General features: G+C 44.8%; 1 protein-coding gene across 14 annotated transcripts in view; it reads left to right on the top strand.

Moving 5' to 3' along the window:
• PTPN3 (protein tyrosine phosphatase non-receptor type 3) overlaps positions 1 to 27,320 on the top strand; it is a 162,727-nt gene that overhangs the window by 71,178 nt on the left and 64,229 nt on the right. For 9 of the 14 annotated variants that reach the window (XM_011518888.3, NM_001145368.2, NM_002829.4 and 6 more), the window contains 6 exons: positions 3,792 to 3,946; positions 9,844 to 9,951; positions 10,028 to 10,070; positions 12,669 to 12,747; positions 18,388 to 18,432; positions 21,951 to 22,003. In XM_011518888.3, the coding sequence (XP_011517190.1) occupies positions 3,792 to 3,946; positions 9,844 to 9,951; positions 10,028 to 10,070; positions 12,669 to 12,747; positions 18,388 to 18,432; positions 21,951 to 22,003 (483 nt within the window). Of the gene's footprint in view, positions 1 to 3,791; positions 3,947 to 9,843; positions 9,952 to 10,027; positions 10,071 to 12,668; positions 12,748 to 15,858; positions 18,433 to 21,950; positions 22,004 to 27,320 lie in introns of those variants that run through there. The other 5 variants (NM_001145370.2, NM_001145369.2, XM_047423638.1 and 2 more) reach the window with 4 other exon arrangements.

Below are 27,320 nucleotides of genomic sequence, written 5' to 3'. Positions count from 1 at the left end.
AAGAACTAAAAAATAAAATTGACATTTTAAAGTCAATGTGGTTAAAGCATTATGGAACACATTTGTTGTCTTTTGATAACTTTTTGTATTACTCAGAAAATGCATCCCTGCTTCTGATGACATTTTCATTGGAAAGGGCAAGGCGGAGGTGGTGGGGTGGGTGGAATTTTATAAGCGACTGAATAAGTTCCTTTGCACTGCTGGTCCCAGGAAGTTTTTTTTTTATTAGTATTTCAGACTCTCTATCCTTATCTAAGGAAGAAGGGAGGTTTGCTTGGAGCTCCTTAAATATAATGATATGAGACCAAGTGCTTCTCTTCCTGGATGTACTTTCTGCACAGCTTTCATCATTGCGGTTTCTCTTTCTACACCTAACCGGTGCCCCCTGTCATTCCCTGAAGCTTGTTTCTTAGTCCTCCAATCTGCTTTGGCCACATCCGTCTAAGAGCTGAGTCACCTACTACTCCTTGGTACTGACTCCCAAATCTTTTCTCTAGCCATGCCCTGACATTAGGCGCTACTTTTCCAATTACCCGTGACTTGCGTCTGCCAGAATGGACCCTGGCAGCAGCAGCTTGGTCATCACCTGGGAGACAAGATGCAGACTCTTGGGTCCTATCAAGACCTACTTGAATCAGAGTCTGCATTTTAACAAGATCCCCAAGCACTCTGTATGCACACTGCAGTGTGAGAAGCACTGGTCTATGGGACATCTGTCTCCCCTCCCCTCTGCATTCCTTCTTTCTTTTCTTGCTTGCTTTCATTTTTTAAGAGATAGAGTCTTGCTGTGTTGCCCAGGCTGGGCTCTAATGCCTGGGCTCAAACAGTCCTCCCACCTTGGCCTCCAGAGTAGCTGGGACTACAGGTGCACACTACCGTAGCTAGCTACATTCTACTTAGACCCTCCCCCATTTTTCTCTGTCAAATTTGTCTATCCTGTTGTATTGCTATACGGTATTGTTGTACTGCAGTACTGCTATATAGTCTATGTTATATAGACTATAAAATTTAGCTTCATTTTCTATTTCATTCTTCCTTCCATTCATTCGGACATTTACTAACTCTACCAGACCTAGGTTTGGAGGTACAATGAGCAAAAGCAGACCTAGCCTTGTGGGGCTTCGCATCTAGTGGGAGAAGCAGATATTAAATACACATCATGAGTTCTAAGTGTGAAATGAGGGTAAGCACTAGTGAGTGAACTCTGTCACACAAATCTGTGACTGGTTAGGGAGACCAGGGAAGGCTTCCCAGAGGAAGTGATGCTTGTGCTGAGCACTGACGATGAACTGGAGTTAATCAGATGAAGAGGAGCAGAAAGAGCTTTGCAAGCAGAAGGAATAGCCTATGCAGAGGCCCAGCTCATCAGAGAAAGTTTGTGGAGAATTAATAAAAAAAAGTTAACTTACTCTCAGGCCCTTCATCTTTATTTGCTCTTCCACCCAACACTGTCAGAGTTATATCTTCACCGTTCCCTGAGCCAATTTGATTTGTAGAATTACTTCACATATTCTTTTTTTTTTTTTTTTTTTTTTTGAGACAGAGTTTTGTTCTTTTTGCCCAGGGAGTGCAATGGCGAGATCTCAGCTCACTGCAGCCTCCGCCTCCTGGGTTCAAGTGATTCTCCTGCCTCAGCCTCTGGAGTAGCTGGGATTACTGGCGCATGCCACCGTGCCCAGCTAATTTTGTATGTTTAGTAGAGATGAAATTTCACCATGTTGGCCAGGCTGGTCTCGAACTCCTGATCTCAGGTGATCCGTCTGCTTCAGCCTCCCAAAGTGCTGGGATTAGAGGTGCATGCCACCATGCCTGGCTAGTTTTGTATGTTTGGTACAGATGAGGTTTCATCATGTTGGCCAGCTGATCTCGAACTCCTGACCTCAGGTGACCCGCCCGCTTCGGCCTCCCAAAGTGCTGGGATTACAGGCGTGAACCACCGTGCCCGGCTGCTTCATGTATTCTTTGTAGAAGCCTAGATCCTCCCACCTACGTGATATAGTCATGTCCTCAGTTGCACACCTTTCCAGTCTTTTTGCCTACCTCTCCACCATTGAAATCACCGGTTAAACCAGTTTCCTTACTGTTCCCTAATATCATGGTCAGATTTTGAATGCCCTCTAATTCTCTCTTCATAAATATTATACTCTCTTTTTCAAAAAAGTAAACTTGTTATTAAAACATACATATGGAAAAGTACACAAATCATAAATGTAGAGCTTGGTAAATTGTCACAAAGTGAGTACACCAGTGTCATTAGCACCCACATCACGAAATAGAATGTTAAAAGCATCTCAGAAAATGCATCTCCCCCTTCCCCTCACTACACACAAAGGTAACCATTATCCTTTCTTCTATCAGCATTGATTAGTTTTGCCTGTTTGTAAACTTTACATAAATGGAATCATGCAGCAGATAATCTGTTGTGTCTCATATCTTTTGCTCAATGTTAAAGCAATTGATTCACGTTTTGCATGTAATGGTAGTTCATTTCTTTCTTTTGCTGTATAGTAGTATATGGTATGACTGTACCACAGTTTATCCGTTCCACATTTGATAAATGGGGTCTTTTCCAGCTTAGGATTATTATGAATATTCTTTTTTGTTGTTGTTATAAATTATGATTTTATTAGATACATATTTTGGTCCAAATCTTTGAATTGTCGTGACTTTAAAAAAAATTTTTTTTAGCTTACAAGTTCTGAGTACATGTGCAGGTTTGTTATATAGGTAAATTGAGTGTCTTGGAGATTTGGTGTACAGATTATTTTGTCAAATGCGTCATAAGCATAGTACCCGAAAGGTAGTTTTGCAATCCTCACCCTCCTCCCACACTTCACCCTCACGTAGGCCCTGGTAGCTATTGCTCCCTTCTTTGTGTCCATATGTTCTCAAAGTTTAGCTCCCACAAGATGCTGGTACATGTCTTTTAGTGAGTGAATATACATTTTTCTGCTGGGAATGTGCCCATGACTGAAATTGTTCTATCACAATAAATGCATATGTTGAGCTTTAGTAGATACTATTCAGCAGTTTTCCATCGTACAGTGGTTGCACTGAGTTATGCTTTCACCAGCAGCATGTGAGAGTTCTGGTTGCTCCACACCCTCCGTGGTTTTGCCAGTCTTGAATCATAGGGGTTCTCTGGTGGGTGTGTGGTACTATTGCTTTGTGGGTTTAATTTGCATTTCTTTGACAGCTAATATGGTTGAGTACCTGTTTTTGTTTTCTTCCTGTTTTCTAAGGAGTTTTCTGTTACTTCCTCTCACTAGGTTAGCAGGAGCACTCCATATATTCTTGGCAGATGTATATATTGCGACTATCTCCTCCCACTCTATCGGTTGCCTTTTTGCTGCCCTAAATGGTGTCTCTCAATGAATAGAGGTCCTTAATTTTAATATCAGTTTATCAATGAGTCTTTTCACATTTGAAATCATATTTATACCATGTTTAGTTCTGTAAAACCTTAGAGGTAGAACACAAATACATAAAATTGTGAAACATAAATAAAAATTTAAAAGCCTGGGAAATATAAATTAGAAGACTCAGACCAGGGAGTTAATAAGACATGCAAATAAGCCACGTAATTCTGTGAACGTACAATTTAGCAATACATATTGCTTAGAGCATCTTAGAAGTCAAAACTCAATTGGAAACATGATCTGCTATGTAGTTCTCATTATCTGTGAGTCCGTCAGACAGTATCGAGAGGATGGGATCTGACAGGTATCTGCACTCACAAGTAACTGACAATTCGCATATTAAAGCACTAACAGGTATATTTTATGTTACAGGTTATTCAGCGATAGTTATGACCTCCCGGTTACGTGCGTTGGGTGGAAGAATTAATAATATACGCACCTCGGAGTTACCCAAAGAGAAAACTCGATCAGAAGTCATTTGCAGCATCCACTTTTTAGATGGCGTGGTACAGACCTTTAAAGTTACTGTAAGTTCTCTACTTTTTTTTTTTACTTTTCCTGAATTAATGCTCCTAACAAATAGTTTTCATCTCTTGGCTCACAAAATGAAGAAAAAAATATTTTAAAATGAAAGCTTGAGATCTCAGATCTTGTATGTTGAGATTGCACTGGAAATACTTAAAAATGTTGCCCCAATTTCACCTCTGCCCTGAGGGTCTTCCCCCCGCCCTTCTGTGTGGTGTGAACTGTTTGACGCTCAGATGTTGGTGCTTCTGGGAAGTCCTCATCCACTTTCTGAAGGAGACTGGTTTGGGAAGTGGATGAGGACTCCACGGAAGCACCAACATCTGGAGGCATCATGGCACCCTATATATGCTTCATTAGAGCCCACGTCAGGTTGCATTTTTTCAAGTAGTGATTAGGGTATATGTTGCCCATGAAACTGAGCTCCTTGAAAACAGGAAAGAATAGAAAGGGTGTTGTTTCCCCCGTGCCTGGCACAAAGCTGGGCACACAGCATGTGCTCGTTAAATGTGTGAGTGAGTGGGTTGTGAAACAATCAGCCTCACAGATGGCAGGGCTTGGGGAGGTTCTGGCTCATCCCACTTAAAGCCCGTGGCAGAGCCAGCACTAGAAACGAGGTCTCCAGTCTCCCAGGCCAGCTGCAGGAAGATACTGGGACCATGGCTGCCTATGGTGCCCACCCACCCCAGTCACCACCGAGCCCGTGACCTTTGCCCATGACCTCTTCCATCCTCTGGCCAGTCCTAACAGGATCAGTCCCAACCCTGAACTGGCTGCTAGGATCTGCCCCAACCTGTAAAGTTCAGTGTGCAAGGAAAGACATCAGAAGAGAAGATGGGATGAGAGAACAATTGAGGGAACAATAAAAGGCCACAAGAATGCAAAGGGTGACAAAAACTGATCCCTGGGTCTTCCGCACACCCCATACAAGTTTGCCCACTGCCAATCCCAGGTGATCATGGACCTTGATGTAGGCAGGAGGAGAAGGCAGTTTGCGTGGAGTTTTAGCACGGTGGGTGCTGTATCTCCTTTTCAGCAGGCATGGGGCGGTGGCCCAGTGCCTTGGCTGCAGACGTCTCCCTGTCAGTGCAGAAGACTCAGGTGGACAACCAAAGTCATGGAAGTTTGGGCCCTTCGCCTGGCAGAGAGTGGGAATGGGCAGTAGAGATGGATGTTTCCCAGCCTTCTGCCCCACTCTTCCACGAGCACCCAGGCCTCCAGCTATTCCCCAGTGTCAGGGCATCATTTTTTTGTAGGTGGGAAACATTGTTGTAACAAGTGAAAACTCCAGCAAGGAAATTCAGTTGTCTAGTTAGGTGTCTCCAAAGTCTAATTAGAGGGGCTACAACGTATACCTGTGACCTGTTTCTTCAGAAGCCACTTTGGAGGAAAACATCCTCTCAGGAGGACTGTCCAAAAGAATATTCTGCAATTCTGGAAATATTCTGTGTCTGCACTAACCCATAGGGGAGCCCCCCAGCCGCATGTGGCAATTGGACATTTGAAATATACCTGAATAACTAATTTTTTTTTTTTTTTCCTGAAACAAGGTCTTTCTCTGTCACCCAGGCTGGAGTGCAGTGGTGTAATCCCAGCTCACTGCAGCCTCAACCTCCTGGGCTTAAGCAATCCTCCCACTTCAGCCTCCCAAGCAGCTGGGACTACAGGCACACACCACTACACCCATCTAATTTTTTTATTTTTTTGTAGAAACGAGGTCTCACTAACTTGTCCAGGCTGGTCTCAAATTCCTGAGCTCAGGCGACCCTCCCACTTTAGCTTCCTGAAGTGCTGGAATTGTAAAGCATGAGCTACCATGCCTGGCTTAAATTTTGTATTTTATCTTAATTAAAATGGAAGCAGTCTTTAGTAGTTCATAGTCCCCACTTTAGATTGCTCAGCTTTGGTAAACATTTCTTAAAGTGTGTCAGAAGCTCCTACGATGTGTGTTAAAGATGTCAATCCCTTGTCCTGCCTGGGTGTTTTGAAACTTGCTCTCTGTGGGGTGGGGCCTGAGAATCTGTATTGTAATGGCTCCCCGAGTTGTCTCAATGTGCCGTGCAGTTAGAGAACCACTGATTTAGGGGTCTGTTGGCAAGGTTGTAAATATTTCCCTTAAAAGGCAACTAGTTTGGTTCTACAGAACCTTGTCTTGTATCTGATTTCCTTTTAACATAATCTTTCATAGAATTTTGTGATTACACAAGCTCCATGAAGGTCACAGATGTCTCTTCCAGATGCTGTACACTAATAGTTTAGTATGTGTCTGGCTTCTTTGTTAAAATGTGTGTTTGTCTGTCTTGGAGCTGTTCTTTAACCGTTTATCCTCTTCCTGACGAAAACATGAATGTTTGTTAGTATATAACTCATGTATTCATTCAGCATATGTTTACTGAGCACTTACTATGGGCTAAGCTTTGTTCTGGGTACAAAAAATGGCAACAGTGCACAAAACAGAACAAAATCCCTGCGTTTTTGAAGCTAACATCCCAGCAGGGGAGATGGGCCATAAAAAAATATGTGCTGAGTCGGGCTTTGCAGAAAAATAAAGTAGAGCAAGAGGGAGAGAGTGCCAGGGCAAGGTGAGGTTACCATTGTATAGACGTAACCAGAGACGTCCCCACTGATGAGATGAAAGAACCAGGCGTTCATCTGGAGGGAGCACATCCCAGGGAGAAGGAACAGCAGTGCAAAGGCCCTGAGGCTGGAGCCCACTTCCTTTGGTTGCAGAACACAGTGGAGTCTGGAGTGGAATGAGCAAGGGGGGAGGGTAGCAGAAGATAAGCTCAGAGAGATAACAGGGGTAAGGGGTGGGGGATCGCATGGAGCCTTGTAGATCATTCTGAGGGCACTGGCTTTTTTTCCTACATGAGGTGGAAAGCACTGGGGCTCTGTCCACAGTTGACAATAGGAGGGAAGGGGCTGAAAGACTGGTGTGGCAGTCCAGGGCGGAGATGATGACCATTGGACATGGTGGCTGTGTGGGGCTGGCTAAGAGGAAACTGAGCCCAGAAGTACTTTGAAGGTGGAGTCAATAGGGTTTGCTGATAGATGGGATTTGGAATGCGAAAGAACAGGAGGCCTCAAGGTGAATCCCAGATTTTTGGCCTGAGCAATGCAGCAAAATAGAGTTGCAGTTTATTGAGATGGGGAAGACTGTGGGAAGAACAGGTCTCAGGGTAGAAGTAATCAGTTCTGCTGTGGGCATATTGTGGGGGAGAGGCCTGTTATTCATCTGTGTAGCAGTATAGGAATGGTACGAGATAGAAGAGTCAGGAGGTTAGGGGATGGGTCCAGGCTGGGGATACAGATGTGGATGTCACCAGGATAGAGATGGGATTTCAAGCTTGAAACTGGAGGAGATCCCCTGAGAAGCAAGTGGATGGAAGCTGCGAACGGTGCTTAAGGGTAGGAGAGGTGAGGAGCAGGCACTAAAGGAGTCTGAGAAGGACCAGCCAGGGAGGCGGGAGGAGGCCAAGAGCGAATGTCTGAGAATCCCAGCAGGAGGAAGAGTGATCAGCTCTGTGAAAAGGGGAGAAAGCAAGCACCTACCCCGAGTGAGCATCATATCAAGCCTTACAACAGGCTGGGTGCAGTGGTTAATGCCTGTATTCTCAGCACTTTGAGAGGCCAAAGCAGGAGGATCCCTTGAGCCCAGGAGTTTGAGGTTACAGTGAGCTAATTGTACCACTGCACTCCAGCAGGGGCAGTGGAGCAAGACCCTGTCTCTAAAAAAATAAAAAAGTCTTAGAGCCTGGCAAACAGTGAGCACCCAGAAATTCTTAGTTATGAACGTCATTGTTCTTATCACGTGGCTGCCACCCCAAGCTTCCAGCAGCCTGGTTCAAAGCTGAGTCCCATGGAACTTGAGAAGTTGGAGGGCCTGGTTGCAACTTGGAGTATCCCTCACTTTGTGTCTTTCTATGTGTAGGAATTGTTTGCACAGTCTCATTCAGACTCTTTAGCCCAGCCCACCTTGTGACCAGGAGCAGATGTCAGGGAAGCTGACTTGGATATCAGTCGTTCTTCTCTCAGCCCAGGGAGCGAGCCCTGGTGGTGACCTGGTGCCGTGAAGATGACCTCTTGAGGGCAGGGGCCAGGCCAGGAGGCCTTTTCTTATTATAAATGTGTTTTTTGTTATTACATTTTAATTTCTCTTGAGAACTGGATGAATTATGCAGAATAGATACCTGTATATGTGAATTATGCACTTCAGAGGAGGAGATGTAGTAGGAACAAACAGACCTGAGTCAGGCAGTCAGACTGTCCTTCTGCTGATGGTGCAAGGCACGGAGCCTCTCGGTGCCTCTGCTCGTTGGCAAGGGAGATGGTGATGACTACTACACTTTGCAAAGTTGCTGCAAAGATTAGAGATCATATATAAAAAGCACATTGGCATAATGTCTGGCTCCTTGTAGATGTTCAGTAAATTGTAGTTAATAATATATATTAAATGTAATATAAAATCATACATAAATAATTCCGACAAGGGGAGCAGCTAGCTTTTTGACATCTGGTAATGTGCAATGTGTGGTCTGGGTCATTCTTTCCCCACCTATTGTGATTCTTTTCTGATGGATGGTGCCCTGGGTAGAAGGAGCAGGAGGTACAAGCGCTGTTGGGCAGGAAAGGGGGCATGTTCAGGAAATGGGCGTGTTTCATGTTCCCACACTTCAGACCGAATAATCTGAGGCTGCCCCAAAGAAGTCTCTGCAGGTGGGGCCTGACAGTTATCTAATTCTCCCAATGCTGGTCACTGTGACCTATTTTCAAGTACATTATTTGCTCTCAGGCACTCAAAAAAAGGAGCTACCTTTGCCTGTTCTATACACGGTCTATTTCTGACTCATATTGTCCTTTAGTTAAATGGTTTGGTTCAAAGGATTCCTGCAAAGTCTGCCTGTTAAAGTAGAATTTGCAGTTTTCCAAACACTCCATGCTGTTTGCCATCCCTGGGCCTTTGTGCCGGGCCATCTGATCCAAAGGCCTGTTTTTAGCTCGTGTGCCTGGAGGGGAGGGGTGATGCTTGGCCCTGTCCTCCTCCCAAACCCAGATCAGGGGGTTGCTTCCTCTACGGCCCCAGTCGAGATGACCATTTGTGTGGTCCCGTTGGGTGTCCACTGTGCCTCGACTGTTTCACAGCCCTCGACGGCCTTTGACACTCTGTTACAGCCACTGCCTCCATGGCTGGGGCAGGAAAAGGGAGCTTCTTATGGCCGTGTCCCCATTCCCACACCGTGCCTGCCCCATAAACATGGAGCGGGGAAGGCAATGGAGTCCTGATCTGAAGAGGCGTGTGGTTGAACGTGCCCCTCAGCTTCTCACTTCAGATGATGGGAAGGGGAAGCAGGGAGGCAGATAATCCCACAGGGTGGCACAGGCCACATCACTCTGAGGGTATTTTGAATGGCAGTTGAGTATTTTTAGCTGTCTTCCTTTAGGCTGTTAGGTGAGAGCTTTCCTTTCCTGGACATGCACTTCGGTGGCTTCTCCAGGAGTAGGAGCCACAGGTGTGTCCTGAGGAGCCAACAGAAACCACCCTGGGGTTAGCATTTCATTGTGGATAATCCACTGGAGGCCACAGGGAGTTCACTGTGATTATGAGAGCTGAGTTTTCCGATTTAGACATTATCACTTGGGAATTGCAGCTAAGGGGGAAGGAAGAAATCTTAGACAATTAAATTAAACTCGTATTGTCTTGTGTTGATGTCATTTTTCTTAGCCCTACTTCCCATATGTGCTGTGTGGCTTCTTAAAATTTATTAAAGCTTTTCTTGTGGTGGGAAGTGTGTGTGCATAGCATTTCTGAATATTTTAACTCTTTTTTGCCTACAGTAAAGATGTTTTTACCACCAATTAATTTAAGACTTTTCCCACTTGATAATTTCCTTTGTTCTAGAAACAAGACACTGGCCAGGTTCTTCTGGATATGGTGCACAACCACCTGGGTGTGACTGAAAAGGAATATTTTGGTTTACAGCATGATGACGACTCCGTGGACTCTCCTGTAAGTGCCATTTTTAAAAAATGTGCTGAACTCCTTCACGGTTTGCTTTTATATTTTATGTTTTCTTGTCCAACAGAGATGGCTGGAAGCAAGCAAAGCCATCAGGAAGCAGTTAAAAGGTTGGTGTGATCTTTTCATTTCAGTCGAACATTAGGTGTTAGTGTATCACAGCCTGTTTCTCCCCTCCAATCGTCAGTGCCTGTGACATCTGGTACCTGTAGTTCCGGGTGTCCAGGAGTCATGAGTGAGCCGACTTCTCCCTGTCTGACTTCTGAGTCAGCAGAGATGCTTCCAGATCAGCCCTCTAGGATCCGCCCCAGCTGTGGGAAAGAAGGGGAAGGGTGAGAGTAGGCAGCTCAGAGCGAGGGAACCCACATTTCTGTATTCAAGGAAGGAAAAGGAAGGAGGATGGCCTTACTTAGCCCGATGTGAGAGCCAGGGTGGACAAGAGAGACAGGGAGATAGACAAACACAAACACCTCATACTTTCCAACAGCATAGTCGCGTTCACGGAAAACCGAACCATAAGTAGGTAATGTCACCAATATAAAAGATTAAGTCTTCCAAACTACCGCTTATCTCTCAGGAGTGAATCCCAGTGCTGCAGCTAACTCCCAGTTCGGTGGCCAGTCAGGCCACACCATAGTCCACCCTCTGCCCTGATCTGCTCTCGGCCTGATGTTCCAACATTGCCAGCATTGTTCCCCTTTATGCCACTCATGCCCCAGACCAACCTGGCTGATCTGCAGGGCCTCCCAGTGCCTCCCCTCAGTCTGTTCCATCTGCTGGGAATGCTTTTCCCTCCCACTTCCCTCTGTCGAAATCCTGCCTTTTTTCAAGGCTGCTCAGATCTCATTTCCTCTCCTAGAAACTGTGGGTGGCTCCCTCGACATTCTCTTAGATTTACCATCACCCGTGTTGGGGTTCTGAATGCTCTTGTCCTCATCTGTGTTAGTTGCCTTTAGTTCCCTCTCAGAACTGCAAGTTCCTTGAGGTTAGGACCCTTGTTATATTTCTCTCTGCATCCCCAAGGTGCCCAACACACACAAAAAGTGGCCAGTGCATGGCGGAGTGGAGAAGGGCAAGTGGATTTGCGCACGCAGGTGCGCATACACAGGATGCCCCCCAACACACACACGCACACCTGCCTCAGCACCCAGGCAGGAAGAAGTAGACACAGTGGCCTTCGCTCCCGTCTCACTGCTGCCCCCACAGGGAGCCCGATTCTCAAAGTTCTTCCCTCCCATGAGCTGCATCCTCTGCGTTCAGAAGTACCTGTGGGAGCCTCAGGGCCACTTGCAGACAAATACCTGCCTCATCCAAGTCCCCAGGAATGAGTCCACACAAGGCATGAATAGGTGTTGTCATTCATTCTCTCATTAACTCCTGCTTTCGGTGAACGTATCCTGAGCTCAGACTGTGGCAAGGTGCTGGGCTAAGCCCTGGGAATCCAGTCCAGATCAAATTTGGACTCTCCCCTCAAGGAGCCCACAGCCAAGTGTGCAGACAGCCCAGAGGGTTCGACATTCTATGATAATAGTAAGCACACGATAGGGGACAGCCAGAAAGAAAAAGAGGCTATGCCTGCAGCGCAGAGATGAAAAGTTTTAGAAGAGGGGGAGGGGAGGTGAACAAGCATCCCAAGGCAGCAGGAGGACATTGTTCTCCCCTGATGTGCAGATTGTCATAGCGCCATCCGCTGGTACCTAGACATGTGGACAGGTGTACTCAGGGGCACACCCCCGTTAGGGATTCTTTGAACACACGCTGCAGATGAAGAAAGAAAGCACTAAAGAGCAGGGAGGGTAGAGCTCAGGATGATCTCAGGTAGAGGAGGAGATCTAGCAGGCTAGTGAGAAGGACTTGAGTTGCAGAGAGCAAGAAAGTGCTCAGTGCCTAGATAGGGCTGGCGAATATTTACTGAGGGATGATGGTGAAATTGACATGAAGATCTTGGGATCTTAGCAGCACAATCTGATCTTCTCCTGTTGCCGTCTCTGTGAGAAGAAATGGACTAATTTTATCCACACAAGCAAATTGACTCTAGATGTTGATGCATAAAGCCGTATTTGAATATGTTCATTGTGTGATTTACTAGTATACTAACTTAATATACTTTACATTAAAAGCATGAGATATTTTCTAGTTTAAAAATGATTTTGAAATGTGGTATAGCAGAATCAAAGATCTCATTACTCTAATTCTGGTTTTGTCACCAGCTGTGTGACCTAAGGCAAGTCACCTCTAATTGGCTTATCTGTAAAATGGGGCTACCAGTAGCAGCGTAGCCCACTCATAGTCATGGTGGTGTTGAAATGCAGGAATGTACATGAAAATGCTTGAAACTTATAAATGGCTACACAAACGCAGGCTATTATTTCTTTGTATATTTTGCATAATAATGCCGATTTAAGGATTTTTTAAATTCCTAATACAGATGACGGAGTGCAATGTTTAAACACAGCCCTAAGATAAACGTGTGCTAGGAAGTAGATGATAACTCAGTCTGTGCTGATGTTGCATAAATGTTTTACTTTTTGAAGACTTGGAGATTTCTGAAACAACTAACTTATGTACTCCATGTTTGAAATTAGCCCTTTTATAATGGAAAAAGCTATGGTTGAGTGAAAAAATGCATCACTTATGGAAGAGAAGCAACTTACATACATTGACTTTGTCAAAGGGAAAATTTAATTTGTTTTTGAAAAATGTTGTAGGAGGTTTCCCCTGTACCCTGCATTTTCGAGTAAGATTTTTTATACCTGATCCCAACACACTGCAGCAAGAACAAACCAGGTAACAACATTTTTTTAAAGTTTTCTGTTTAGTGTATAAAAATGAGTAACCACTAAAAATGTACTCTTCATTTTATTACTATGGCCAAATAACTTCATTTGGGTGTAACTACACCAACAATGATGATCCAAGTAAAAATCTGGGGTGCACATACTGACATTTTAATCACCTAATGAGTTTTCAGTCTTGGGCCTGCTTCTCTTATCTCCTGATTTGCTGCCATTCCCAGCATACTCCCATCTGCCACCTCCTACCTCTCCCACCTCCTTCCACCTCCCTGGCCTCTCCTGCCTGCTGAACACACTGTGCTCAAAGGACAAAAAGTCATTTTCTACCAATGTAGGCAGGATGTAGAAGACAAATTTGTAAAATAGTCATCCACAGGTCAAATAGCATGATGTCTCTGAAGAGCTAAAATCAAGGCTCTTGAAGATAACAAGACATCTCTTGTTATAAGAATTTTCTTTCTTTTTTTTTGTTTTGAGACGGAGTCTCTCTCTTCACCCTGGCTGGAGCGCAGAGGTGCGAGCTTGGCTCACTGCAACCTCCGCCTCCCAGGTTCAAGCGATCCTCCCACCTCAGCCTCCCGAGTAGCTAGGATTACAGGCAGGTACCACCATGCCTGGCTAATTTTTTTTTTTTTTTTTTTTAACGGAGATGGGGTTTCCATGTCGTCCAGGCTGGTCTCAAACTCCTGACCTCAAGTGATCTGCCTGCCTCAGCCTCCCAAGGTGCTGGGATTATAGGCATGAGTCACCAGGCCAGCTTTGTTATAAGAATTTTCTATCAGATCCCCAGTTTGCAAGAGTTAGAAAGGAGAGCAGGCTGGATTCAGCTTGTCTTCTCAGTGAATCAGCAAGTACAGGAAATATGTGAACCAGATAAGGGAAAGAGGGCTGTGATAGGAGTTGTTTACCCCTCAGGGCTTGGAGTCTCTCCCAACCCTGGGCTGGTACTGGGGTTTTTCTAGGTGTGAGGGACAGAGTAATTGGAATGGAGTAGGAGAGTGTAGCACAAGAAAGTTGTTGCTGTTTTAACACAGACTGCACAAACAAACTTTCCCTCCCCTGTGGCAACGTTAAGCCCTTTTATTATTGATCCATTTATTTTTCTTAGGGAGGGAAGCTATAGAAAAAAAGCAATAGATGCTTAGTATTGAATCCTGTTTTACATTCATCGTGGCCAAAAGACATAATCAAGGAGGCAGCATTAACTCAGACACAGAGTGTTGCCTTGTTAATTTTTTTTAGCAGTAATTACATCACATTTTAACTTGTAATATGTTGAAAGGCCAAATATTAATCTGTTACTGTATTTTGCCTTCTTTGTGCACCTCCTCCCTCTACTATAGCAGACACTGGGAATTTGACTGTATTTTTTATTACTTTTTAAGCCAATGTCCAAGGTGTCTGGTATGACACATCCGGTGACCACACAGAAGCATGCCCTGTCCTCTGAGTTTTCCCCATACCAGCTCTTTATGCTGGTAAACTGGGGATAGGATAGAAACACTCAGCCCAGCAGGTTACTTCATAAGCTGACGGACACAGAGCTGGTGATGAAATCTATAAGAATGTGTTTGAAATGACCCTACCAAGGTTTCCTCAGGCCAGTACTAAATAACACACTCTGGGCCAGGCATGGTGGCTCATACTTGTGAGCTTCCCAGCACTTCAGGAACCCAAGGCGGGAGGGTCACTTGAGGCCAGGAGTTTGAAACCAGCCTGGGCCACATAGCAAGACCCTGCCTCTACAAAAATAAAAATAAAAAAGTAGTCAGGTGTGGTGGTGCATGTGTCAGCATCTCAGGAGGCTAACTAGGAGGATCACTTGAGCCCAGAAGTTCAAGGCTGCAGTGAGCCATGATCAAGCCATGTACTCCAGCCTAAGTGATCGACTGAGACCCTGTTGCAGAAAAAAAAAAAAGGCTCTGTTGAAGGGATGTCTTAAAAACAACATAATATGTGTGTGTTTACATGTATATGTGTCTTTTATATATATTATATATAATGTGTGTGATTATGTATGTATGTACATGTGTACGTGTGTGTGGTTCTAACCAGTGGGTTTTTTAAAAATCACAACTCCAAAGTAAAAATATATTTTGTTTCAGAATACAGTACACATATATAAATTACTGAAGCAAACGTTTTATAAAACTATAGTAAGTACCAGGTACTCTGAAGTTTTCTATTCTGTTTTATTTCCTTTTTTTTTTTTTTTTTTTTTGAGACGGAGCTCGCTCTGTCACCCAGGCTGGAGTGCAGTGGCGCGCTCTCAGCTCACTGTAACCTCGGCCTCCCGGGTTCAAGCGATTCTCCTGCCTCAGCCTCCTGAGTAGCTAGGACTACAGGCGTGTGCCATCAAGCCCAGCTAATTTTTGTATCTTTAGGAGAGGTGGGGTTTCACCATGTTGGCCAGGATGGTCTCGATCTCTTGACCTTGTGATCTGCCCGCCTCGGCCTCCCAAAGTGCTGGGATTACAGGCATGAGCCTCTGTGCCCGGCCTTACTTCCTTTTTTTAAAAACTTGCCAACTGTGACGCATTAAATTGATTGTACAACCAACTGGGAGGTTCCAACCCCAAGTCTGGACGGCACTGCCTAAACTAGTGATTGTCACCTGCCTCCTGCCTTCCCATAACACTAGAGCCCCAGGTTTGTGGCATCCACTGGGCACATTAGAGCCCTCCAGTGGCCAAACTTGAGGGAGAGGTTTCCTACGGCCAGTGCAACCTAGGAGTTTGTCTCCAGGGCCCATCCTGGCCATTGGCCATCCACTTCCATACGCTGTGGAAGAGAAGCCCACTTCTCTGGGAGCTGACAAAATCTTCCTGCTGAGCCTTCCTGTCATTTGAGGGACATCTGTGGAAATGTAGGGCATTCATGATGGAGAGAAGCCTCGGGCACAAATGAAGGCTGCCTTCAGGTGTCCGAAGAGTAGTCATGGGAAAAGGGGAACTAGATGTGCAGGGTCGTAGAATTGTGGCCAGTGGGTGGAGGCTACAGGGAGGCAGATTTTAGCACAGAATGAGTAATAAACAGTGTGTGTCTGTCTCTTCTAAAATTCACTGGTTGACAACTGACACCCCACCCCCACCTTCCATCTTAAGAAGGGTGGTATCCCGTTGTGGAGTAGAATGTAACTATGACCTTCTGGGATTTGGGCACCAGATTTATCTTACTGCAACAGGAGCCATGGTGGGAGCCACCCCCATAACTCTTATAGAGCTGGTGGGCCACCAGGACTGCCAGATATATATATATATTTTTTGAAACAGGGTCTTGCTATGTTGCCCAGACTGGCCTCAAACTCCTGGACTCAAAGGATCCTCCCTCAGCCTCCTGAGTAGCTGGGATTATAGGCACATACCACCACGACTAGCTGCCAGATCATCTTATCTTGGACCAGGCTTCTACCATTAATTCACATGCTTTAAAAAAATTAAAAATTAAAAAAATGAAAAATAAAAAAACTTAAAAGATTTTACCTATATTCCTGGAACATAGTTATCTTACCCCAGCTTTGTAGTTCCTGTTTAAGGAAATTCCCTCTGAAGGAAATTTTAGCTCTCAAGAGTCAAAGAAGATGTATAGAGGTGGTATCTGTTAGTTTTTGTTTGTTTGTTAAGGATCTAGGCAGAGAGGTCATTACATTTTTCTGAAGTTGAGGTCACAGGTGGGGTACCCACAAGAGAGGTCATTACATTTCTGAAGTTAGGCATCCCAGGCATCTCTTCTAAAGAACTATCCTGTATTCTAATTGTTAAATAAATATCTTCTTCATTGTGAGCCTCCACAACTGCTGTTTCTGATAAATTTAGATCATTCTTTGCAGAATTTTATATACTGGCAATCTCAAAACTAGGCTCCTTCAAGATTCCTAGGAAGTCTCCCAAGCTCGGGTTGGGTTCCACTATTCTAGTTTCTTTGTGTATGATGCCATGGGGTTGACTCAGAAACTTTGCTCAATATATGACAAGGCAGCATTTGGTGAGTGGTGATCTCCACGTTTATCTTCTCATTTATATCCCTAGGAAGACATACTGATTAGCTGAGCTTGTCAATGAAAGCCCGGGTTCACCATTGGATTATCTATAACTCTCCTTTCTCTTTTTTTCTCTCAGTAGCATTGTAGGAGGAGAGAACACTTAATTCTGGTTGAATGTCAGCTTGGATAAACATAGAAACAAACTAGAAAGAACTGATGATGTTCTCCTAGGTGGAAAAGATGGAGATTCCAATACCAAATAGGTGTGAATCAGCAAATGTATGTTATACTGTCTCTCAAGGCCAGGTGTTCAATACATTGTGGGTAGTTAATTATAATCAAAGTAATAATATTAGAGTTACGACATGGATCCTAAGCTTTTTAGCCATTAAACATATAAGAAATTTGTAGCATAGTGAGTTTTTTTATAACATGATCATCCAGGTTAAAATAAGACACAATTGACCTCACATATCCTATCTGAGCTCCGATTTTGTCATCTGTAAAAATGGAGATAGTGGTACCTACCTTACAGAGTTATGAGGCTGAGATAAGAGGGAAAGTTACAAAGTAGTACCATGTACAAAGCCCGGAACTGTGCAAATAGGAGGTTGTAATACTGTTTGAAGCATTCCCATCTCAAAAAGCCAGTTCCTTGGCCTTTATAAATTTGAAGGAATAATGAAACTGATTTGTTTCAATTGTGAAAATTATTTCTCTCCTGCCCCTGTGCACTTCTGCCCTGTCTATATTAGATTTCAAGAGGTTTCCCTTTTGTCATCTTGGCCAGACAATGGAATGTCTATCCCGTTTGAATCTGGGTTTAAAAAAGCATGGGAGCTAGTGGCCAAGTGTCACATGTATGCCGCATCCCTAAATAGAAGTCTCCCCAGGGCGCTTCCTGACCTGCGCAATGCTGCCGAAGGCCTCCTTTCCCCGCTCCCCAGGCAGAGGAGCAAAGTCACAGGCTGAGGGGCCTGCCACGACTTGCCCACAAAACAGGTCTGGAGTTTGGAAGTTACATTTGCTGGTTGCCCAGAGATGAGTGCAGAATTCAGCTTGGAGGTCCTGGAAACTTCTAGTTTACTGATGTTTATGCTTTTGCTCATGCACCCACAGTTCCTGGGACACAGAATGCTCACCTGGGGGTTTGTACCCCAGCCAAGAAGGTGTCTTCACAGACTCCCCTCCTTTTAGCAACTTCATGCAGATGGAGCTTGGGTGGATGGATCCTGGCACAGTGTTCAGAACAGTGGCCCTGCCAGTGTGTGGGCGCCGCTTGTGCAGAGCCCCTGTGGGTTCTGGTCCTCAAGGGCAGGGGCGCTCACTGACAGCGGAACCCATAGTACCAGCCCATCTTTGGTGGGCTGTTTCCACCCCATTCATCCCTGCTCAGCTCTTCATAGGACAGCCTGTGCTGGCAGAAAATTGCCCCCACCAGTCAAGACGTAGGGCATCAACATGAGCCATCAGTAATGACAGGGCAGCTTTGCAGAGCGTAAGGTAGCACCTGATACCTTGGACCAAAACCGTATTTTTATGTATCTTTCACATGTACAGCTCTTGTCTTTGACTCATCAAACTTTCTTTTTTTTTTTTTTTTGCTTATTTCAGTTTGAGTATGAATTAATGAAAACAATTGTTTCATAGGCACTTGTATTTCTTACAACTGAAGATGGATATTTGCGAAGGAAGGTAATGAGAATTTTACATTTTTCTTTTCCTGTTAGACTAGCAAAATTCCTGGTTTTAATCTAATGAGTGTTTATTTCTGGTAACAATATCAAATCTAAACAGAGTGGATGTGCAAAGCATCCTGTACAGCATTAGGCTTTGGACATCTGTTTTTATTATACCTCAGTCTTGGCTGAGAGAGGCTAAGGATTGATAACTTTGTTTCATGTTATTTCAGTTTTATTACAAAGGATGCAGCTATCTTTCTGGTAAAGACCTGAGAAATTTTAAAGGGAGGAGGGGACCCAGAATGTACAATGGGCTTCATTCAGGAAGGCAGATCAGGCCTAATTTGGGTCCACTTTTGAGCCCCTTAGTACCCACGGATGACTCATTTTCTCTCTGGGAGGCTTTTTGCTCATTTGCCTGTGATTCAGTGCTTCTTGTGTTACCAAGACCATCTCAGTAGCTAGAAGGGAGAGGAAATTCCAAGCCGATGGTCCCTGAGCTACCTCCTTTTCTTGACTTAGGGAAGAAACTGCAGCAGGTAAACTGGTGGGAAGAGCACAGCTTATTCCCAGTCTCTTCACCGCACCCCCAACCCCTGTGAGTTTAGCCCTGGAGAGGAGGGTCTTCAGAGGTTACCAGCGTGCTGTACCATGAGGGAGCTGGAGTCTCACTGGGGAAATGAGACAGTATCCCATGAAGCAATTAGGAAACAATTAGAACCAATATGGGCAGTAGAGACAACAGTTGTCATAAGACTTGAGGAGCTCCTGCTGGTGTGAGCTAGAAAAGTCTTTATAGATTGCTAGGATGAGCCAGAATTGGGTTGGGTAGAGAAGTGAGGAGGTGGATTTCCCTGGGCAGTGAGAAGACACCCCACCCCCGACAGTCCCACTTGGAAACCACATGCTGAGAGCTTACAGGAGAATAGAGAGGGCTGTTCGTGTCCTACGTAGGCGGGCATCTTACATCTAGCAGGCAGAAGAGAACTGTTGAAGGTTTTTAAGCAGGAAGGATGTGGCAAGAGCCATATCCACAAAGATAGTATCATTGTGCACAAGGGAAGACTGGCAGAGGCCAGGGGCGGTTCAGTCTGGATGGAAGGGAATGGACAGCCTTCAAGGAAGCTATTGTAGCATCCAGGCCAGAGACCTGGGGGCATGGCAGTGAAGTTTGTGGAGAGAGGAGGTGGATAGTTAGAAGCAAGAGACACCTTGAGGAAAGGATTTCCAGAGCTGTTGACTATTGAGCACTCATAGAATTATAGAATTCTCATCACTTAGCTCATCCTGCCATTCAAGGTAGGAATGAGTCACTTCCCCAGCACAATCTACAGGTCTTCAGGCTTCTGCTTGATCACCCCCAGTGAGGGGGAGCTCACCCTTTCATGAGGCAGCATTTTTACATTTTAGGGTAACTCAAGGTTGAAATTACCGACCCCTCTCCTGGGTCCAGGCTGTCCTTAGCAGCTGCAGAAACCCATTCTTTCCTTCTCTTCTGCACACTTAGTCTTTTCCACAGATAGTTTGCAGTCACCTTTTTATGAGACAGGCACCGAACTACGCTGGTCAAATAAGGCCAGGGCCTTGCCTCCTCAGGAACTTCTAGTCTAATTCTCCAAATAATGGGTTGTCTTCAGTTTTTCTTCTCCAAACAAAATGCCCCTTGTTATTTCCATGTGAATCAGGGCAAATCTGTTAAGGCCACATCCTGGCTTAGATCTGTGGCCCTTGTCAAGTCCTCACCACCTCTCTGAGGAGAGGGTCTCTGCTACCAAACGCTTCTCAGATGTGGATTTGTGTATTTGTAACTGTGGGTCTTTTGACAGGCCCAGTGGAACATATGGAGCACTTTTCCTAGGTGTCAAATTGTCCCGACTTGTTTGAGCCGTCCATGGTAGCCGGCACTCAAGGTGTCATCTCCTTCTTTCCAAGATGGTTGATCTCATCCAAGCCCTTCACTCAGCAGGTGAAGACCCTGAAGCCCAAGGTGAAAGAAAGGGATGTGTTTAGGAACATGCGGCCAAGTTGAGAGCAGAACAGAGGCTTCTGGTGTTCCCTAGTATGTATTTGGAACAGTTTTTGGAATGTTTTTCTTTCTGGTTTCTTCATAGGATTGTTTCTTCCATCTAGAGGGAACCTCCTCAGCCTCTTTTCTAAGTTGTTCCCCAAATCCCATTCACCTCCTCTTTCTCCAGCAAGGACACTGGCGTAGATTTAATCAAACCCCATCTTGTTAGGAGAGCAAATAGCTGATACTCATCCTGTTTCTGCCTATCCTCCCCACGAGCTCTCTAGATTTCCAGATGAACAAACAGAGGTGAGATCCCTGGACCTCATCTGTAACCTTGGGGAGATTATTTGCAAGTCCCAGCAGGAACACAGCATCACTTGAGGAACAATGGGGGCCCCTCAGATAGGGAAAGTCGACTTCATATGCAGCTGCAGAACCAGCACACAGTGCAGTGGACAGGAAGCGGAACCCCTGGAGGGCCGCATTGTCAGAAAGGCGGAGTGGTTCACATCTTGGGTACTTCACGGGCTGCCATAGAAACTGTGTTCCCCACTTCCCACTGGGGTGCTGGGAAGAATTTTTAAAGTCCCAGTGGCTCCCAGTGTTGCTGTTAAGGATTCCTCCGTTTATCAGAGACCTCCCCACCCTTCAAGCCCTTCTTCCTGCCCTCCCCTAACCTGTTCTGCCCAGCAGTGACCCCTGCTCCAGGTCTGCTGGTGAGCTCCTGGGCAGGCCGTGGAGTCTGCAGTTGAATGCAGAAAAGAAAAGGGAGCAATCAGAGGATTCAAAATGTGCCTAAGACAGAGGTGGAGTCATTGGCAGAAACAGGGCACCTGGGAAAGCAGTGAGTTTAAGAGGAAAGGAGAACAAGGCCAACCCAAGTCCATGATTACTAGTGAATGGCACGAAGACTGAGAGACAGATCACTGAACTCTGTAGATCTTCAGGAGGGCAAATAGATAAAGGAATCCTAAGTCATCGTAATTAGTTAATTTAATTAAGGAATTGCAGGTTTTAAAATTGAAAATACCTTTCTACTTGTCCCTCCTAAGAGGATGTTACTATTTTAGAAAGAGGGTAATCTAGAACCAAAGGGTCATTAGAACTCAGGAATTTAGTTAGAGAGCCCTATGATGAGTCTCAGGTCTTTACTAGAAAGATTTAAAGGCTGCCCATTGATCTCAGAGTACAATTTTTTTACTTTTTTTTCCCCTCTTAGAGATAAGAGCCTGACCCTTCTTGAGCAGCCAAAACACTGGCCAGCATTAGTCCTTTAGTTTCATGGTATTTGTGATGGATATTATTTTAAACATGAAAAGGTTTTATTTTTAAAAAATTTTAGTGTATTACATTTGCCTTTACTGTTTATGTGCAGCATAAAGTTGCTTTTGTTACAATTCATGTTGTTTTGTAATGGTTGATCAAAGCAAAGAAAGACATGTGTTACTACGCATGATCTGTCAATGTTTAAGGCTGTTGTTGGTTCTTGTGACTTTGCTAATATGTTTTTCTCCTGACAGGTTAACCTGCCCTCTTAACTCAGCAGTGGTTCTAGCGTCCTATGCCGTACAATGTAAGTCACAAAGGGAGCATTTCACGGATGGACAGGTTGTTCTGATCAGTGTGTGGAGAAAGTCACTGGTTCCTCCTGCTTGACCAAGTCCCTCTTCCCCAGGAATCCTGCTGGGCAGCATATCTCTGGCTGTCCAGATATGTGTTTCTACTCAGACTGGCACTCTCCTGTAGCATGGGGATGTTAGATTAAGGAAGGTGGTTAAGGGGAAAGGAATGAATGAACTGTGGTGTGAAATTTTCTCCAAGGGAGCCCATCAGACAGCAGACAGCTGTTGCACATTGCATTTTCCAGAAACTTTGCTCAGGCATTTGATCTGATCTTCATACAAATCCCAGTGGGACAAATATTTGTATCAGTCATCCCTTATACACATGGAAACCTAGACCCAGCTAGGTTAAGAAATTTGCTAGGAGTCACCCCTGCTGCTTGGTTGGTGCTACTCTAAAACACTACTGGGATCTTAGGAATTTCTTTTCAGAGTTGCAGTATAGCTAATGGATTGTATATTGATCTATACCAGTGCTATTCAATAGAAATATAATGTGAATCATATATGTAACTTAAGTTTTCTAGTACACTCATTAAAAAAGGTAAAACGAAACAGGAGGTTTTTTATGTTTTATTTAATGCAATATATTGAAAATATTAGCATTTTAACTTAATGTACAAAGTTATTAGCAAGATATTTTACATTTTTTTTATACTAAGTCTTTGAAAATCAGTCTGGATTTTACACTGACGGTACATCTCAATTTGGACTAACCGCACGTCGCTAGTGGCTACCATATTGGATAGAAAGTCCAGATGGAATTTTCTTGAAGGCTGGTTTAAACTGGAGTAGGAATCCGCTCATTCAATCAGCAAAACTTTATCGAGGGTATATTCCCTTCCAAGTCCTGTGGGTAGATGCTGGGTAGGCACAATGAAAAGAACGTATAGCCAGATGAGAGCAAAATGTCACTTTATAGTAGCTAGCTTTGTGGTGGCAGTACAGTTCATCAGCATAGTACTCAGGTAGAGCCATTTGCAGCTCCAGACCTAAGAAATCTCCTCTACCAGAAGCCCAAACCATCTTGGCCTATTACCCTGTTGACCTACTGTGTGATAGATAGATAAGGCAGCAAGATGATCAGGTCTGAGAGCAGGCACTGGCTGAACTACACACCCTGCTCTGGTCTCAGAACAGGCAAAATAGCAAGAGAAGGCTGACGGACTCCTGAGGTGGCCCTAGGTCTGCCTATTTCCCTACCAGGAAAGAACAGAAATGAAGGAGGTGAAGAGCAAGGTGGCTGGGCCTGCAGCTTACCCACCCACCTGCATGGAACCAGGAGGTGGAGGGCAGGGGACATCAAAGATGACCCTATTCACGAGTAAGACGAGTACCAGAGTTAGTCTCTCCATCGATACCTGCATCGCCTCCTCCTTAGTGGGAAACTCAAAACAGGCGAATGGGCCTGGGTGGATTTGAACCTTCCCTTCTCCCTACAATATACCTGGGACAGGCCCGGCCATTTCACATCCATATGGGAAGTGGCATGGTCACCAGTTTGTATTCTTATGATCTGTAGACCTTGTGAACTCTGTGTCTGCCAGGCCAATCAGCTGAGGAGACTGAGCCTCCCCATGTCTCAGAGCAAGTTTGGTGTTCACAGCCTGAGCTTCAGGTTTATGAGGCAGGAACACTAACTAGAATATAGGCATATTCAATTTAAATCCTGGCATCCCTGGCCAGGTGTGGTGGCTCACGCATGTAATCCCAGTATTTTGGGAGGCTGAGACGGGAGGATCCCTTGAACCCCAGAGTCTGAGACCAGCCTGGGTATTATAGTAGGACCCTGTCTCTACAAAAACTGAAGAATTATCTGGGCATGGTGGTGTGCATCTGTAGTCCTAGTACTTTCTAAGGCTGAGGCAGGAGGATCACTTGATCCCAGGAGGTCGAGACTGGCATGGGCAACACTATGAAGCCCCATCTCTACAAAAAATAGAAAAATTAGCTGGGTGTGGTGGTGCGGTGCCTGTAGTCCCAGCTACTAGGGAGACTGAGGGGGTAGTATCTGTTGAGCCCCAGAGGTTGAGGCTGCAGTGAGCCATAATCATGCCATTGCACTCCAGCCTTTGTGACAGAGTGATACCCTGTCTCAAAAAAAAAAAAAAAAAATCTGATGTCTCCGGTGGCCAGTTATGTGGGATTGCCTCTCCTAATCTTGGTTTTCTCACCTGTAAAACTGAGGTGAGTGATTTAAGACAGCTCTCAATATGGCTACCTTGGTTCAAATTAAGCAATAATGTGAAGGTGATCTGTAACTAAAAATTCTTTATTGTTGGACCATCCCTGGCTGAGTCATTGAGAACTGGACTGGAGCCATATACCTAGGTCTTGCCTTTTCCACTTGTACCTGCCCGACTTTGAGCTTCTCCAGACCTCAGTTTCATTACCTGACCCATGAGGATAATAAGTGTCTCCTTCAAGGGTTGTAGTGAAGATGAAATGAGTGACTGTATGTAAAACTATTAGAATAGTGCATGGCACGTGTCAAGTGTTAGCTCTTACTGTATTTTCATGTCTGCCCAGAAGAAAGCTGTCAGGGAATTGCCTGTTGTAAACAGTAAATTCTATTTAGAGTAAAATTTAAAAAGCAAATAAAGAATTCTATCGCAGGCTTCAGTAGTCAGGTTCCCTTCTGCAAAGAACTGATAGAATGGGGGCTAAAGAAGTTGTGGGCACCTAAAAAGTACAAACTGGCTTCAGTAGAAATAGTCACATTACTGTCATGCTAATAGAATCATGGCTTATCAGGCAAGCAGTTTTAAGTATAAGCTTTTATCCCTCCACCCTCAATAAATATATATATTGCAGAGCATACATTTCTTTAAGATTAATACTTGTGCCAGGCACGGTGGTTCACGCCTGTATTCTCAGCGCTTTGGGAGGCTGAGGCAGGCGGATTGCGTGAGCCCAGGAGTTTGAGACCAGCCTGGGCAACATGGTGAAACCCTGTCTCTACAAAATATACAAAAATTAGCCAGGTGTGGTGGTACACCCCTGTAGTTCAAGTTACTGGGGAGGCTGAGGTGAGAGGATTATTTGAGCCCTGGAGGTCAAGGCTGCAGTGAGCCATAATTGCACCACTGTGCTCCAGCCTGGGCAACAGAGTGAGACTCTGTCTCAAAAAAAAAATTAATTATTGTATATGAAATTACTGGATCAAAAGGTACACCTACATTTTATGATATATTTTGCTAAATTCTTCCAAGAGGGGCATCTGATATAAGTCCTCACTGTGACCAGCTAACCAAAAGCACATTTTCTTATTACATAAAAAATAAAGTCCGGCATAGTGGTTTGCACCTGTAATCCCAGCTACTTGAGATGCTGAGGTGGAAGGATTGCTTGACCCCAGGAATTAGAGACTGCAGTGAGCCATGATCATGCCACTGCACACCAGCCTGAGCAACAGAGCAACCCCATCTCTTAAAAAAAAAAAAGTGATCTTCAGGTAAAGTACCCAAAAATATACAATGATGGAAAATTGTTAATGGCCTGCCAAGGCTTTATGAGGCTCAAAGAATAAAGTATATTTTTTGGAATATATGTTTATTCCAGAATGTTCCCTGCACCTGTGCCACATAGAGGTCTGTACCAGCCTCAGGGTGCACAGATGGATAAAACACACTGCTCTCCCCAAGGAGTCTACAGCCTGTAGGGAGGCAGATGTGGATGATACTAGCAGTGGAGATGGCCACCAGGGGTGCACTTCATCCTGCTTAGGGAGAGGGGAGAGCATCTGGGAAAACGTCCTAGGAATGACCCCTGAGAACCGCCTCTAAGATCAGGTTGGAGTTGAATGAATAGCAGGTAAAAGTCTTTCCAAGTACAACAGCCGGGCAGCTTGAAATGCTGTACTTTGGAACCTGGGATATACCCTCTCTTTGCTGCAAAACATAAAATATTATCAACCAGAAGAAAGCATGGAACTTAAAATGACAAGGTATTTCCCACATAAGCACTTCCTTTTTTGTTTGCTATAATTAGCTTTTGCATGTGTTGCTTTCTCACAGATAGGAAAATGGATTACTTAGGAGTTTGGAGCATATAGTATAGTAAGTAGGTAAGAGCAGGGACTATGGTCAGAGTCTAGCCTCCAAATTAGCAGCTGAGCAACAGTGGCAGACCCCTTTGGGTCTGTTTCCTTATGTGTTTAGTGGGGATAAAAAGCATTGCCTATATCACAGGGTTACCATGAGTAACAAGTGGGATGACATCATTGAAATCGATGTGAAACCGCCCAGTGTTTTGCAAATGTTTATCACTGTTTAACTTTGTTTCCCCCTAGTGGTTAGCACAGAGCTTTGCACAGAGTGGCCGCTTAGGATTTAAAGGGAAAACCACCCCACAGGGAGGCTCATTGGTTGTGTTCGAAGCTCAGAACATTTGTCAGCAACTTGCCTAAAGAGAGAACCTTGCTGTTCATGTTTGCAGAATGATACCAGGGATGGGACTGTTAACTGGTATGATGGATAACCTTATTGGGATCCAGGAGGATCTCCATGAGCTAATGAAACCAACAGAGTAAAGGTTCATAGGACTCCACCTTGAGGATCAGGAAAAGTCATTTACAGCATTTGGTTGGCCTTTGGGGACATGATTGCTGCCATCAAATGGCCAGCAGCGGCTCACAGGCCTGGCAGGCAGGCTGGTGGGGTGGTAGGAGCACTAACTGGGGTTCAGATCACCTGGGTTCTGATCTTGACCCTGTCCCAAAGGTGTCTTTTCCTTTCCAGACCGCAATTTCTTCACTCTTAACATGAGAGCTTTGAAGGAAGTGATTCTAATGCTTTCTAGCAATTTCCTCATTGGGCATGCTGTGTCAGGGCATTTAAATGATTTCCTGTGAACGCACCATGTGCGCTTAACCCTGCACAAACTCACCAGCCACATAGCCTTGACATTTCTTTCCACAGCTTGGCCACATTTGGCTGGCCTTAACAGCCTCTGGTCTAACCTTGACCAAGTCTGCATGCATTGGTCACTTGGCTCTCTGCCCTTTTCCCCTTCCAGAACTGAAATTTGCATCAGCCTCTGTACAGATCAGTTCTGAGCACCCAAATTTCTGAGCACCTACTGTGTGTCATGCCTGGTGCTGGGGGCCCTAAAGGTGAGTCTGACCCACTCCCAGCACTTGAGGCACAGTGTAGGAAGGAAACAGATCCCTTCGTTATGGTGTGGATCTCAAAAGAGCAGCCCTGTGTTGTGAGGGCAGTTAGGTGAACAAGGCTGAATGAAACATAACCTTTGCATCTTCCCTTTTTT

Source organism: Homo sapiens, chromosome 9 (genome assembly GCF_000001405.40).
Source record: "Homo sapiens chromosome 9, GRCh38.p14 Primary Assembly".
Taxonomy (NCBI): domain Eukaryota; kingdom Metazoa; phylum Chordata; class Mammalia; order Primates; family Hominidae; genus Homo; species Homo sapiens.
The sequence above is the reverse complement of the archived record's forward strand: the minus strand, read 5'-3'. Positions and strand labels throughout refer to the sequence as shown.